Source organism: Homo sapiens, chromosome 11, assembly GCF_000001405.40.
Source record: "Homo sapiens chromosome 11, GRCh38.p14 Primary Assembly".
NCBI lineage: Eukaryota > Metazoa > Chordata > Mammalia > Primates > Hominidae > Homo > Homo sapiens.
In genome coordinates, this window is record NC_000011.10 from 119,018,393 (window position 1) to 119,031,358 (window position 12,966).

At 52.9% G+C, this 12,966-nt stretch overlaps 2 protein-coding genes across 13 annotated transcripts, besides 4 other annotated features; one reads left to right on the forward strand and one right to left on the reverse strand.

Annotated features, from left to right (window-relative positions):
- Positions 233-352: a silencer, noted in NCBI's record as "silent region_3961". NCBI's record gives its function as "represses an Ori minimal core promoter by ATAC-STARR-seq in GM12878 lymphoblastoid cells {active_cell/tissue: GM12878}" and the evidence as "EXISTENCE:reporter gene assay evidence [ECO:0000049][PMID:35858748]".
- Positions 233-945: a biological region, named in NCBI's record as "NANOG-H3K27ac-H3K4me1 hESC enhancer GRCh37_chr11:118889349-118890047".
- Positions 247-945: an enhancer, noted in NCBI's record as "NANOG-H3K27ac-H3K4me1 hESC enhancer chr11:118889349-118890047 (GRCh37/hg19 assembly coordinates)". NCBI's record gives its function as "activates a minimal SCP1, AML or CMV promoter by ChIP-STARR-seq in naive H9 embryonic stem cells {active_cell/tissue: H9 hESC(naive)}" and the evidence as "EXISTENCE:reporter gene assay evidence [ECO:0000049][PMID:30033119]".
- TRAPPC4 (trafficking protein particle complex subunit 4) lies at positions 374-5,742 on the forward strand. Of its 8 annotated transcripts, none has more exons than NM_001318492.2 (5): positions 374-578; positions 751-1,032; positions 1,758-1,861; positions 3,368-3,494; positions 4,929-5,742. In NM_001318492.2, the coding sequence occupies exons 2-5, from the start codon at positions 998-1,000 to the stop codon at positions 5,005-5,007; spliced, it is 345 nt and encodes a 114-aa protein (NP_001305421.1). In that variant the 5' UTR covers positions 374-578; positions 751-997; the 3' UTR covers positions 5,008-5,742. The 8 variants fall into 8 exon arrangements, with proteins under 8 accessions (NP_001305421.1, NP_057230.1, NP_001305417.1 ...); NM_016146.6 differs by having other exon boundaries at positions 751-925; NM_001318488.2 differs by having other exon boundaries at positions 751-925; positions 3,482-3,494.
- Positions 5,720-12,485, reverse strand: SLC37A4 (solute carrier family 37 member 4). 5 transcript variants are annotated; one of them, NM_001164278.2, is given in 12 exon segments: positions 5,720-6,684; positions 6,799-6,937; positions 7,300-7,365; positions 7,575-7,688; positions 8,211-8,296; positions 8,545-8,703; positions 9,236-9,333; positions 9,335-9,480; positions 9,802-10,034; positions 10,830-11,172; positions 12,156-12,343; positions 12,457-12,485. In NM_001164278.2, coding segments are annotated over 10 exon segments (1,356 nt in total). In that variant the 5' UTR covers positions 10,978-11,172; positions 12,156-12,343; positions 12,457-12,485; the 3' UTR covers positions 5,720-6,517.
- Positions 11,940-12,099: a silencer, noted in NCBI's record as "silent region_3962". NCBI's record gives its function as "represses an Ori minimal core promoter by ATAC-STARR-seq in GM12878 lymphoblastoid cells {active_cell/tissue: GM12878}" and the evidence as "EXISTENCE:reporter gene assay evidence [ECO:0000049][PMID:35858748]".

Sequence of the window (12,966 nt, forward strand, 5' to 3'; positions counted from 1 at the left end):
TTCCGGGGCAAAAGGCGGAGCCAGGCAGAAGAAGTCCCACGGCGAAGCGCTCGCCCTCTAGCCTGAGGCGGAAGACAGGAAGTGGATTCTAGTTCCCAAGCCGCACCGCCTAAATACTGCCGGAGTCTGCGCTAGTTGTGACGCATACTATAGCGCTGTTTTCCTGCACTGATAAACGAAAAGCAATCCACCAGGTCTCGGCAGCTAACTTTCCGGCACTACTTATGCCCGAGCGTGTCGCTCCCAGTGCGCAAGTGCAGCAGGTGGCTGCACGGGGGGCGCGGGAGGAGGAGGAGGAGGAGGAGGAGGCTGGGGTGGGGCCGGCGGCAAGTGCTGTGATGCGGTTCCGGGGAGGGGCCGTCGGGTAGAGGCTGAATACCAGTTTCCGAGCGGCAAGGCAGCGATGGCGATTTTTAGTGTGTATGTGGTGAACAAAGCTGGCGGCTTGATTTACCAGTTGGACAGCTACGCGCCACGGGCTGAGGCTGAGAAAACTTTCAGTTATCCGCTGGATCTGCTGCTCAAGCTACACGATGAGCGTGTGTTGGTTGCTTTCGGCCAGCGGGACGGCATCCGAGGTGGGCTAGGCTCGGGCCCGTGGCGGGTGCGGGGGTGGGAGGGCCCCAGTGCTGTAGAAGTGGGCTGGTTGTAGGTGCGGGGTTGGGGGAAAAGGGGTTGTGTCGGGTCCCTTGTCCCCTCGGCGGAATCCCCGGGCTGCACCTTCGCTGACCGTTAGCTTCACCTCTGCAGTGGGTCATGCAGTGCTGGCCATCAATGGCATGGACGTGAATGGCAGGTACACGGCCGACGGGAAAGAGGTGCTGGAGTATCTGGGTAACCCTGCTAATTACCCGGTGTCCATTCGATTTGGCCGGCCCCGCCTCACTTCTAATGAGAAGCTTATGCTGGCCTCCATGTTCCACTCGTAAGTCCCCCGTCTCCTGAACGGCAGCGCTTGTAATTTGTCTACCTTTTCTTAAATCGTCGTTCTGGTGTTATGAAAAACGCAACCGATCCAGATCTAGATTTTAGGTAATAACGGCAGTGGTGTCATCTTTTTTTGCTGGGTGGGGAGGGGCCGCGGAGTTACCCAGGCTGGAGCGCAGTGGCGGGATCTCGGCTCACTGCAGCCTCTGCCTCCCAGGTTCAAGCGATTCTCCTGCCTCAGCCTCCCGAGTAGCTGGGATTACAGGCGCGTGCCACCACGACCAGCTAATTTTTGTATTTTTAGTAGAGAGGGGTTTTGCCATGTTGGCCAGGCTGGTCTCAAACTCCTGACCTCAGGTGATCCACCTGCCTCGGCTTCCCAAAGTGCTGGGATTACAGGAGTGAGCCACCGCGCCCGGCCGAGGTGTCATCTTACTTAAAGTCAACTTCTCTTCTCTGAGCCTTAGTTTCTTCATATTTAAAGAAAGCCAGTTTAACTAAATGACCTTTAAACTTTTTCTGCTCTCAATTGTGATATCAGATGTGCCGGCCTTTGCTTAAACACAAGCTTAGTAAGCGTGGCACATATTCCTAGAGTATTCATTTTACCCAAAGTTTTAGATGTAAAATGTCTTGTAACAAAGTATGAATGTAAAATATTCACAGAATTCAAATGAACTTAGAAATTTTGACACTACTGCCAGTCAGTTCACACTACTTCTCCTGACTGTCCCAGGCTGTAATGTGAACTCCTCAGCAAATAGGGACACTTCAGTGGAAGTTTGAGAAGCACTCCTTCCTTAGAGCAACTTTGCCTCCTTTGCATATAGGCTCTTTGCCATCGGCTCCCAGCTGTCTCCTGAACAGGGAAGCTCAGGCATTGAGATGCTGGAGACAGACACATTCAAATTGCACTGCTACCAGACACTGACAGGTATGCATCTCCACGGAGGCCAGAGGAGTGTGATGGAGAAGGTGGGGAAGAGATACTGATAAGTTTGCATCTCCAGGTGGGCCAGAGGAGTGTGGTGGAGAAGGTGGGAGGAGGGGGTTGACCAAAGACACCTTTGGTAAGCAAGAAGAGGGGGTGTGCTTTTCCTGGCACAATTCTTTTTTTTTTTGAAATGTTTCACTCTTGTTGCCCAGGCTGGAATGCAGGGGCATGATCCGCCCCCTGGGTTCAAGCGATTCTCCTGCCTCAGGCTCCCAAATAGCTGGGATTACAGGCATGTGTCACCACACCCGGCTAATTTTTCTGTTTTTATTAGAGATGGTGTTTCTCCATATTGGTCATGGTGGTCTCAAACTCCCGACCTCAGGTGATTGCCCGCCTCCCAAAGTGTTGGGATTACAGGCGTGAGCCACCACACCCGACCCACAGTTCTTTTTTTTTTTTTTTTTTTTGAGATGCAGTTTCACTCTGCCACTCAGGCTGGAGTGTAGTGGCATGATCTTGGCTCACTGCAGCCACCACCTCCTGGGTTCAAGCAATTCTCCTGCCTCAGCCTCCCAAGTAGCTGAGACTACAGATGCCCGCCACCACACCCAGCTAATTTTTTGTGGGGTTTTTTTGTTTTGTCTTGTTTTGAGATGGAGTCTTGCTCTGTCACCCAGGCTAGAGTGCAGTGGCGCGATGTTGGCTCACTGCAGCCACCACTACCCGGGTTCAAGCAATTCTCCTGCCTCAGCCTCCTGAGTAGCTGGGATTACAGGCATCCGCCACACGCCCAGCTAATTTTTGTATTTTTTAGGAGAGATGGGGTTTCACCATGTTGGCCAGGCTGGTCTCGAACTCCTGACCTCAGGTGATCCACCTGCCTCTGCCTCCCACAGTGCTGGGATTACAGGCATGAGCCACCGCGCCCGGCCTTCCTGGCACAATTTTATAGACACATCTGTTTGTTTGTTTTGTGAATACAAAACCAATATTTAATCTGAAACTGATTTTGTCCATGCCACCCAGCATGTTCAGCAGAGGTTATCTTGTGTTCAGATAAAACTCACCTTAATGCTATTTCCTGTTGCGTGTACTTTGGAAGGTGTTAAGTGTTTTTCCAAAATGAAATTTGAAAGCAAAATGGATATGACCTTTGGATTGCCAGTGTCATTGCTTCACCCTCTTCATTTATTGAAAACTGCCTGACTTTGTCCCCTGCCTGGCAATGTTTCTGCTGAGGGACTCCAAAACTGTTAGTAAGTGGCAGAGCTAGAACTCAAAGCCTGGTCTTAATCAGGTGGGTGACATAACAAAGTTACTTCACTTCTCTGGTCTCATCGGTAGATTCAAAGTCTTGCCTTTCCTGCATTATGTGGTAAAAAGAATAAAATTAAAATAGGCTTATGAAAGTGTTTTGCAAAATTGAAAGTGCTGTACAAATACAGGATGACACTATTTGCTCCAGTGTCTACGCTTTGGTAACCATTCTTGGTCTCTCTCCAGGGATCAAGTTTGTGGTTCTAGCAGATCCTAGGCAAGCTGGAATAGATTCTCTTCTCCGAAAGATTTATGAGATTTACTCAGACTTTGCCCTCAAGAATCCATTCTATTCCTTAGAAATGCCTATCAGGTAAGTGGCCCCACTTCCCAGATACTGTTTAAAGCGTCCTTGCCCCTCCCTGTGTGCTCTGTCCAAAGTTAGCTGAAGCATAGTAGAGTATTACTTTTTTTGTTTGTTTGTTTTTGAGACGGAGTTTCGCTCTTGTTGCCCAGGCTGGAGTGCAATGATGCGATCTTGGCTCGCTGTAACCTCTGCCTCCCGGGTTCAAGCGATTCTCCTGGCTCAGCCTCCTGAGTAGCTGGGATTGGATGCATGTGCCACCACGCCTGGCTAATTTCATGTTTCTAGTAAAGACAAGGTTTCACCATGTTGGTCAGGCTGGTCTCAAACTCCCGGCCTCAGGTGATCCACCTGCCTTGGCCTCCCACAGTGCTGGGATTACAGGCGTGAGCCACTGCGCCCGGCCGAGTATTACTTTTAAGTAAGACACAAGGAAAGGCCGGTGGCTCACGTGTGTAATCTCAGCACTTTGGAAGACGGAGAGGGTAGGATCACTTCAGCCCAGGAGTTTGAGATCAGCCTGGACAACATAGAACCCCATCTTTACAAAAAAAAAAAAAATTAGCCTGGTGTGGTGGCGGACACCTGTAGTGCCAGCTATTAAGGAAGCTGAGGCGGGAGGATTGCTTAAACCTGGAAGGTCAAGGCAGCAGTGAACCATGCTCGTGCCACTGCATTCCAGCCTGGGCAACAGAACAAGACCGTGTCTCTAAATAAATAAGACAACAGTAGCTGGGTGCAGTGGCTCACGCCTGTAATCCCAGCACTTTGGGAGGCTGAGGCGGGCGGATCACTTGAGGTCAGGAGTTTAAGACCAGCCTGGTCAACATGGTGAAACCCCATCTCTGCTAAAAATACTGAAAATACAAAAATTAGCCAGGTGTGGTCGTGTGCACCTGCAATCCCAGCTACTCAAGTAGGCTGAGGCAAGCAGAATCGCTTCAATCTGGGAGGAAAAGGTTGCAGTGAGCTGAGATCGTGCCACTGATTCCAGCCTGGGTGACTATTTAGAGAAAACAGACTTTCCTTGGTGTTTATGTCATTTTTGTTTGTTTGTTTGTGGGGTTTTTTTTGTTGATGTTTTTTTTTTTTTTTTTTTTTTTGAGACTGAGCTTCACTCTTAACCACCCAGGCTGGAATGCAATGGTGCCATCACGGCTCACCACAACCTCTGCCTTCCGGGTTCAGGCGATTCTTTTGTCTCAGCCTCCGGAGTAGCTGGGATTACAGGCACCTGCCACCATGCCTGGCTAATTTTTGTATTTTTAGTAGAGACAGGGTTTCACCATATTGGCCAGGCTAGTCTCAAAGTCCTGACCTCAGCTGATCCGCCCACCTCAGCCTTCCATGATATATGTTGTTCTTCAAGCAGTTTCCCCTGGCTTAAGTGGGGAGAAAGCCTCAGGCCTCACACTTTTTTTCCTCACCCTGGGCCCGGCTTAGGTGTGAGCTCTTTGACCAGAACCTGAAGCTAGCTCTGGAGGTGGCAGAGAAGGCTGGAACTTTTGGACCTGGGTCATAGGCTGAACCTGTTATGGACCCCCAAATTCTGAGAGTTCCTGCAACAAGAATACTGCTGTTGACACTCCAGTGGAAATCCCAGCAGCCTTGTTAGTGCACTTGAAAGTGGGAGAATGCTGACCCTGATGACTTGTACTGATTCCTGAGCCTTAACACTGTGCTCTTTCCTTCTGTATATACCATGGTCTTACTTTCCAACTCTGTACAGATTTATTTATGGAGGAGCTAGGTCCATAAATGTTGTAATAAATATTCCTTTGATCTTGGTGTTTGCAATCTGTCTTAATCGATGGTTTTGGGGGAAAGATACAGGAAGTGAGTCAAAAATGGTTAGGGAATTCTGGGAAGATGATTATGTGCTAGTAAAAAACATAACAAATATGTGTTCATTAAATAAATGAACATAAGATTTTGAAGCATGAGCATTGGATCTAGTCCCAGAATTGCTGCTGATTTCCTGGGGTCCTGGGGTGGTGGCAGCAGTGGTGGTGGCTGTTATGATGATGATGATGATGGAACATATTTCAAGCACTTACAGCCAGGCATTCCTGCTTTATCTCACTTGATCTTCACCCTAACTCCAGGGGGTACATTCTGTTACAGATAAGAGATTTAGCAGACTTTCTGCCTCAAAGTTTCCAAGCTAGTTACTGACAGTCTGGGTTTGAACCAGGCTTTCTGGCTACACACTCAGTAAACCACTGTTACACTTCTTCCCTCCATCAAGTTATTTAATCTGTCCACAACCCAATAGCTTTATCTCTAAAATAATCATTGAACTATTCAATGTTCAGGTGAAGGCAGAGGAGGCATGAGTTTTAAAGGAGTCCATCTACACTTCAGCTTCCCCATTCCAGGGAAATGAAGTCTTTCCATTTTGGGGTGGAAAGAGCAGGTATTGACAATATTTCCCAAGGAAGCTGTCTCACTTTGAAAAAATGAATCACTGACAGTGTTCAGTATCAAATCTAGTTTTAATCTTCTATAACAAGTCACCTTTTCTTCCCACCTATATCCAACTGCGCCTAGTGGTACAGTGAGAATGATGGCCTCCTCTCTTTCCCTGGAGTCTGAGGTATTGGCAACAGCAGTCACCCACTGCTGAGAGGACTTAGGACCCAGCAGAAGTCAAGGGTCATTAGTGCCCTGCAGCTGCAGGGATAGCCTCACTTCAGGTGGGGATGGGGTAGGATGCGGGCAGGACAGGGCCTAGGAAAAGAAGAAGGGTACAGGAGCCTTCCTGACTGCAGAAGTTTCCTGTTTGTCTGAAGGCAGGAAATAGGAGCTAACGGAGTCTAAGGCCAAAGGTTATCTTTTAAATAGAGCATAGGATCAGGGAGCTGGGACCTCACTAGCCACTGATAACTTCCAGCGCCACCCGGGTGACAGAAAAGGCGCAGAAATGGAAAGTGAAAGGTTCAGGGCTAGCCAGGCAGGCCCCTCCTTTTCTCCCCGCAGAGCGTGCAGGGGGAAGGCCACCGTGGGATGGTGCTCCGGAACCTGGACTCTCTTCACTCAGCCTTCTTGGACACTCGGCCCATCTTGGTGCGGATGTTTCGTAGGAGGAAGAAGGCAGCCGTGCTGGCCGCACAAATCACTTCAGCCACCCAGAAGGCTGTGCTCCAACTGTAGTGCTTGGCAATGGTGCTGAAGGGCAGCCCAGCCAGAAAGCCGCCCACTGTCAGGGGGAAAGGGAAGAACCTAAGCCAGTGGTGCTAGCTCCAGCTTCTCACTGGTCTATATGCAAAGCACAGGTGGGGGTGAGGGAGAGACTCTAGAAGTTAACACTTACCATTGGCCATGAGTCCCACAATGGCGTGGGAGGTGCCACACAAGTTGGGAGGGGCACTCTCGTTGGCTATGACTCCAAACAGGGCAATGGGGCCATACGAGGAGAAACCAAATACAGCTCCCAATACCAGGATCCAGAGCTGCCAAGGGCAGAGTGGAGTGGCATTCAGAGTCGGAAAGCCGACCTGCCTACCCACCCCTGCCAAAGCAAGAAGAAGGCTTGGTCCCCAGAAACAAACAGTAGTCATAAAAGGACAGTAAGTAAGTGATTCTTTTCCTTCCACTCCCCAACACAACTGACAATACAGAGCTAGAGTAGGAGATGCCACATTGAGCAAACCCAGGGACCTAGGTGGGCAAGGAAAGGAGGTACAGAAGTCATCCCTCTGAGCTAGAGGCTGTCCTCAGGATTTACACAAACTGGATTGGCTAGGGGTAAGGCAGAAGGGTAGGACAAAGGTGAGACAGACCAGGAGAAAAACCAGAGATATCTTTAAGGCACCTCATGCTCTGTAAAGCCTGTGAGCTCCGCGAGAGGGTGAAGAGCCAGAGTCCAGAAAGCAACATCCTAGAGGAGCACAGGGAAGAAAAGAAAACCAGGCCCAGAGTGGAGGAGGAGAACCCAGACACAGAGGAACGGTCCAATCAGAACTGAAAAGGGTATCTGAGAGGCGAAGAAAAGATTGGCCCAGGCTGAAGCCAGGAGAGGGAGACAGAGTCAGTGGCCCTTGCGTTCTCTCCTTGTGCCCTGCCGTGAGCCAGGCCTTTCTTAATTACCTTGGGGGAGTCACTGGTCACTGTTACCCGGAAGAGGTACATGGACACTGTCATGCCAGCCATCATGAACAGCAACAGGCCATGGCGAGGGTTCCCGTAGTTGGACAGTCCCGCCTATGGATACAGTCCCGGCAATGTCACGTCCTCAGAACAGGGCAGAGAACACCCACCCCTGGACTCTGACACAGCAGGGCCTCTGCTGACGGGTCTTTGGCAATCCCACCACAGTTCTTGGCCCTGGGCAGCTCTGGGAGGCCCTGGGACCTGCTCATTACATTCTGAGGCCAAACTCTACAACATCCCCTCCTCCCCCGTCAGGCAGGACTAGGACACGTGCTGGGGAGGGCACCTAGTCTGTTCCCAGCCCATTTTCCTGGGGCTGTGGAGCAACCTACAGCTAAGCTAAGAAATATTCTGGCTGTCCTTCACATCAGTTAAAACTCTACCCAAGAGCCTTACTTCCACAACCGTAGGAAAGCTAAGACCAGCCTGGAATCATTCCCTCTTCACCCGGTCTAAACCAGCAGATGCCAACCTGCCTGTGCCCTGGGACTCCCATCTCTCCAGTGCCTGTCCCAGCCACGCCGTGAAGACTGAAAGGGACCCTTCTCCTTCCTGTCCCTTCTGCCCGCTCACCTTTGCCATGGCCCGGTCTGACAGGTAGCCAGCTGCGATGCTGCCTACAAGGCCCCCAACTTCCAGGGCACTCATGTAGGAGCTACCTGCAGTAGGGAGTTGTGGTGGGAAGAGGGAAGGGAAGGGTGGGAGGGTGTTACACATTGGGGTTGTCCCACAATGGCTTAAACCTGGAGAGGTACAGGGTTCCCATAGGTGACTGGCCATAGCTGCCTGAGTAGCGCCCGGCCTCAAGGAACGAATAAAGAGGATAAATGGAAGCAAGGCCTGAATTTGCATCCCCTGCATTGGTTCCTGCTCCTTATGCCCACCCTTGTCCCCATGCTCATCTTACCTACAAGGGCTGACTGTCCTTTCTCCTGGATAAGGAAGAACTGGCCCCAGTCAGTACAGCAGGTCTTTACTCCAAACACCACAAGGTAACCAGTGGAGAGCACCCACAGGTAAGGGGACAGCAGCAGCTCCTGCAGGGTGCTCTCCTCCTTCAAGGAGCCTGGAGGTGGGAAAAGGCTGGGCGTCAGGCTCTGCCCTGACTGCTCTCCCCAACCTGAACCCCCAACATTCATTAACCAGCCACAGGGGCAGAGTCCATCTGCACAGCCAGGATCAGCATGAAGGGTATTCCCTCACCCCACTGCTCTCCTCTCCCCCTCTCCGCTGCAAGGTCAATGAATGAGAAACAGGACCAGGGAGGACCAAGCCACTTAAGGACCAAGCTCAATGAATGAAAGACAAACAGGACCAAGCCACTAAAGCTCATGATTCTATCTATCCAGGACAGGGAAGTCTGTGCTGTTGTGAGGAAGGGCCAGAAAATAACGAGTCACAGCACTTGCTGGCTCTGCCGCTTGTCCAGTACTTGACTGCCTCTTGGGATGGATTTGTGTTTGCTACCCATGCAGCCTACATCACCACCTCTTCCCCCACATCCACTGACCAGCACAGGACCGGGCAAACGCCTAGTCTTCAACAAACATCTGCCTGCTAAATGAGTGCCCCAGTGGTCGGTCTGGGTGGGGGCTCACCCTTCTTGCCCTCAGAGGGCATGGGGTCCAGGTTGCGGAGTCCAACATCAGCAGGTTCATTGTGGATGAGCAGGAGACAGAGGAAGGAGACAACCACACCACAGTGCCCCAGATAGGGCCAGCGTGCTGCGCCAGCTGTAGCTCTGGGCAAGGATGGTTGCCAGGATAGGGCCCAGCCCTCCAGCCAGGTTCATGCTGGTTGACAGGATGGCCCACCAAGTGCCAAACTGAGATGGCTCAAACCACTGTGGGGCAGAGGGCGACACGTAGGTGTCCAGCCTACTGCCCATGTTGAGGGTGGGGTCAGATGGGGCAGCCCCAGAAGCTCACATTACAGGGAAGAGGGAGAGGGCGCTTCTGTTTGGCAGGGCAGTTTCCTCCTCTGCCACCTGATCCCACCACTCTCAGCCTCCTAAAATATCTTGACAAGCAATAGGAGCTGGCCAGGAACTGCTCAGGAACCTGCTCTGGGTTGGGTGTGGAGGTGGTGGGTAAGAAAGGGCGCTCCCACATGCTCTTTAGGCATCCTCTATGACAATCCAAACAGGCTCTTTGGAAGCACTCACCTTCCGCAGGACCTTCCCACATGGGGGCCAGCCCAGCCCCTGGGCCAGGCCATTAAGGAACCAGAGGGCAGCAAAGACAGGTACTGTGGAGCTCCAGGCAAAGAATATGTTGACCAGGCCAACCAGGAGCAGCCCAGAAGAGAAGAGCCAGCGAGCACTCATCTGGTCAGACAGCACCCCACTGACAAACTTGCTGATAGCATAAGCTGCCGACTGGCTGCTGGTGATGAACCCTGCAGGGAACATTACACTTAGGGGTTAGGGACCAGGGGAGAAACACAGGAGCAATGAAAGAAGGCATGGGGTCAGGTGTGCAGGGGTGCCCAGTGGGGTGAGACAGGTTACTTCCCAGAGGAACAGGAGGAGCCTGTGCTGCAATCTGACACTCATGGGGCCCTACTACTTCGGCCACTTCTCCTGCCTCACCATCGGCACTAGCCCCAGACTGACCCATGATTCTCAGCTACAGTTGTCAGGGAACAAAAAGGGAGCAGGACGTGGCAGTTCCCCCTCCCTGGGATTTGCATATGGGATTTCCCACCTCACTCTGGATGCCAGTCCCGGGCCTCTAGCAGTTCTGTTGCTCCACCACCCAACATGGGGCAAAGGGCTCAGGATTGGAGTCAGGGACCTTGTCCCTCCTGAAGGGTAGCATGCCAGGCCACATGAAGTCGTTGTGCCAACTTTTTAGTTCCCAGTGCTCACAGTGTCAGTAGCCAGCACTCACCCTGAAGCCTCCACATGCACCCACACAGGTGTGAAAACCATGCTCAGAAGCCCCTCAAACACTCTCGGAATAAACAGTGCCTCCAGGGCATGCACACACACGTCAAATAAGCAGCCCTCCTTAGCCCCGCAGGCACCCATGTCCATGGATCTCAGAGCTTCTTTATCTGGCATATGCAGACTGGCCCCTGGCCTCTACTGTGCAGACAATCCACCCACACCACATGCCTGTACACAAACACCCAGTGTGTCTGGCTGGTTCTGTGTCCCCAGGTCCACCACCCTGCTGTTTCAGGGCTCACCCAAATCATCCTTGTCCAAAGGGATCTCTTCCACCAATGATGGCATGACAAAGGAGAAGGTCTTGCGATTGAAGTAATACAGGCTGTAGCCCCCAAACATGGCTGAGAAGATCACAGTGCGATAATAGCCATAGCCCTGGGCTGCCATGGTAGAAAAGAGCAGGCCCTACCAGCCAAGACGCACAGCCTCTGACCACAGTTCCTGCTTGCCGCTCTCACAGTTCCCAGATCTGCTGAGTTGGGTTTTTTCTGCTCCCTCCTCCACCCAGCCTCCCAGGCTCCCTTTATAGCCGCCTTCTGGACAATCATTAAGCCTGGGGAGGCTCCAAGGGGACCCAGTGTCCTGAGGGAGACAAGAAAACAAGAGATTACTGAGCGCCAAACTGTAGGGGGTGGAGGAGGTCCCGGAAGGAGGCATGCCTGTGAGCCAGGCCAGCACCCTGTGTCCCCAGGATTTCTGCCTTTACCTCCTCTATCATGTCTGCTTGCCTGTGAAACCAGCTTTGATTAAAGGTTCAACCTAATTACTTTTGTCTGCCTGAGCCCAGGGGAGGCAGGGGTGGGATGAGCAGAGATGCCCTCTCTAGCCCTGCTCCCTCAGTCACAGAACCTTCTCATTCATTCACGGAAGGTTTATTAACTTACTAGTTGACAGGCACTGCACTTGGCACTATTAGTTTCTACACCCACTCACCACCACCGCACCAAAACACAAAGTCAGACACATACCCCGGCTACCCCACTTCTAAGCCTTCTAGAGAGGGCCTCAATCCGTGGAACTCTCAATACTTAGCACATAATAGATTTAATTGTTTCCTACAGTTGCCCCTTGTAATTCTGTGCAAGGGGGACCTCCCCAGTTCAGGTCCCACGGTGTCACACAGAAAGCCCCGCTAAGGGCTGAGGTCCTGATGGGGCCCCACAGAGCTACCTCTGGGTCCCCATTACCCTGCGACGTCAGTCTGGGCTTCCTTCGGGCTAGCTGGGGGCTGCAGGGTCTGGTTTCCAACCTGTGGGACGTTGGCAGGGGCCGCAAGCAGAGGGACTGGGCAGCTCGTGGGCGGGAAGGTGCCCCGGCGGGCTTCGGGCTGCAGGGCACAACCGTCCCGCCCAGGGCCCCGGCAACATGCCCCGGCTTTTCCGCTCAATTGGGAAAGCAACTGGAGCAGAAGGCGTAGGCGCACGCGGAGCGGGCGACCGCACGTATTCTCCCGGAGGCCCCGCGCTTCTGGCACCCAGAGGCTCAGCCTGGTAGGGGAGGGCCAGGCGGCGGGCGGGAGAGGAGGAGAGGCGGCGGGCGGCGAAGAGGCGGCGGGCTCGTGGCACCTGCCCAGCCCCGTGGGTCCTCACGCTACCCAGGACACGCTACTGTGCGGCTGGGAACCACGGGGGCCGGGGGTGCAGGAGCTGGAGAGGTGCGGAGACCACAGGACTGGCGCGATAGAAAGGGGTCTCGTGCTGGTGGTCAGGGACAGCGCCTCGGTGGCCCCAAGACCCATGAATTGTCTCTGGAACTGCAGGAACAGCTCCGGGTCGTATCGGAAGTTGGGGTTCGCCAACAATGGCTCCCCAAGACCTGAGATCCCCGCCCTCAGGTGACTCCCCTCCCCCGCATACCGCCTCCTACCTGAACAGAGGCGGGAGCCCGAATAGGACGGGGCGGGGCTAGCGAAGGCTGCGCAAGCGCGGCCGGCGGGGGCGTGGTCTTCGCCTGCTGCTTCGCTTGCCGGCCAGTGGAGTTCCCCGCCCCACATGCCGGGGACGTCGACTTACTCCCTCCCGCTGGTCACGCTGCTCCTTGGACGAACGAGCATAGCGCCCCTTAGGGGCTGGGCACGGCATGTCCAATTCTTAAGTGGTTGCATTCAACAAACCAGTTTTTAGTGAGTGCCCTCCTCTACAAAACACACCGAACACTAAGGTGATAATCATTGTTCCCAAGTTGCTCACAGTCTGGGAAAGGTGTTGTAGGAACACACAGTATTTTCTTTTTTTCTTTTTTTTTTTTTTTGAAACAGTCTCGCTCAGTCGCCCAGGCTGGAGTGCAGTGGCGCGATTTCGGCTCACTGCAAGCTCCTCCTCCCGGGTTCACACCATTCTCCTGCCTCAGCCTCCCGAGTAGCTGGGACTACGGGCG

Excerpts from the sequence above, each read along its gene's own strand:
- TRAPPC4 (NM_016146.6), top strand. The coding sequence starts at position 404 with ATGGCGATTTTTAGTGTGTATGTGGTGAACAAAGCTGGCGGCTTGATT. Across the intron at positions 1,862-3,367 it reads CTGCTACCAGACACTGACAG|GGATCAAGTTTGTGGTTCTA; the intron begins GTATGCATCTCC and ends GTCTCTCTCCAG. Across the intron at positions 3,495-4,928 it reads TCCTTAGAAATGCCTATCAG|GTGTGAGCTCTTTGACCAGA; the intron begins GTAAGTGGCCCC and ends GGCCCGGCTTAG.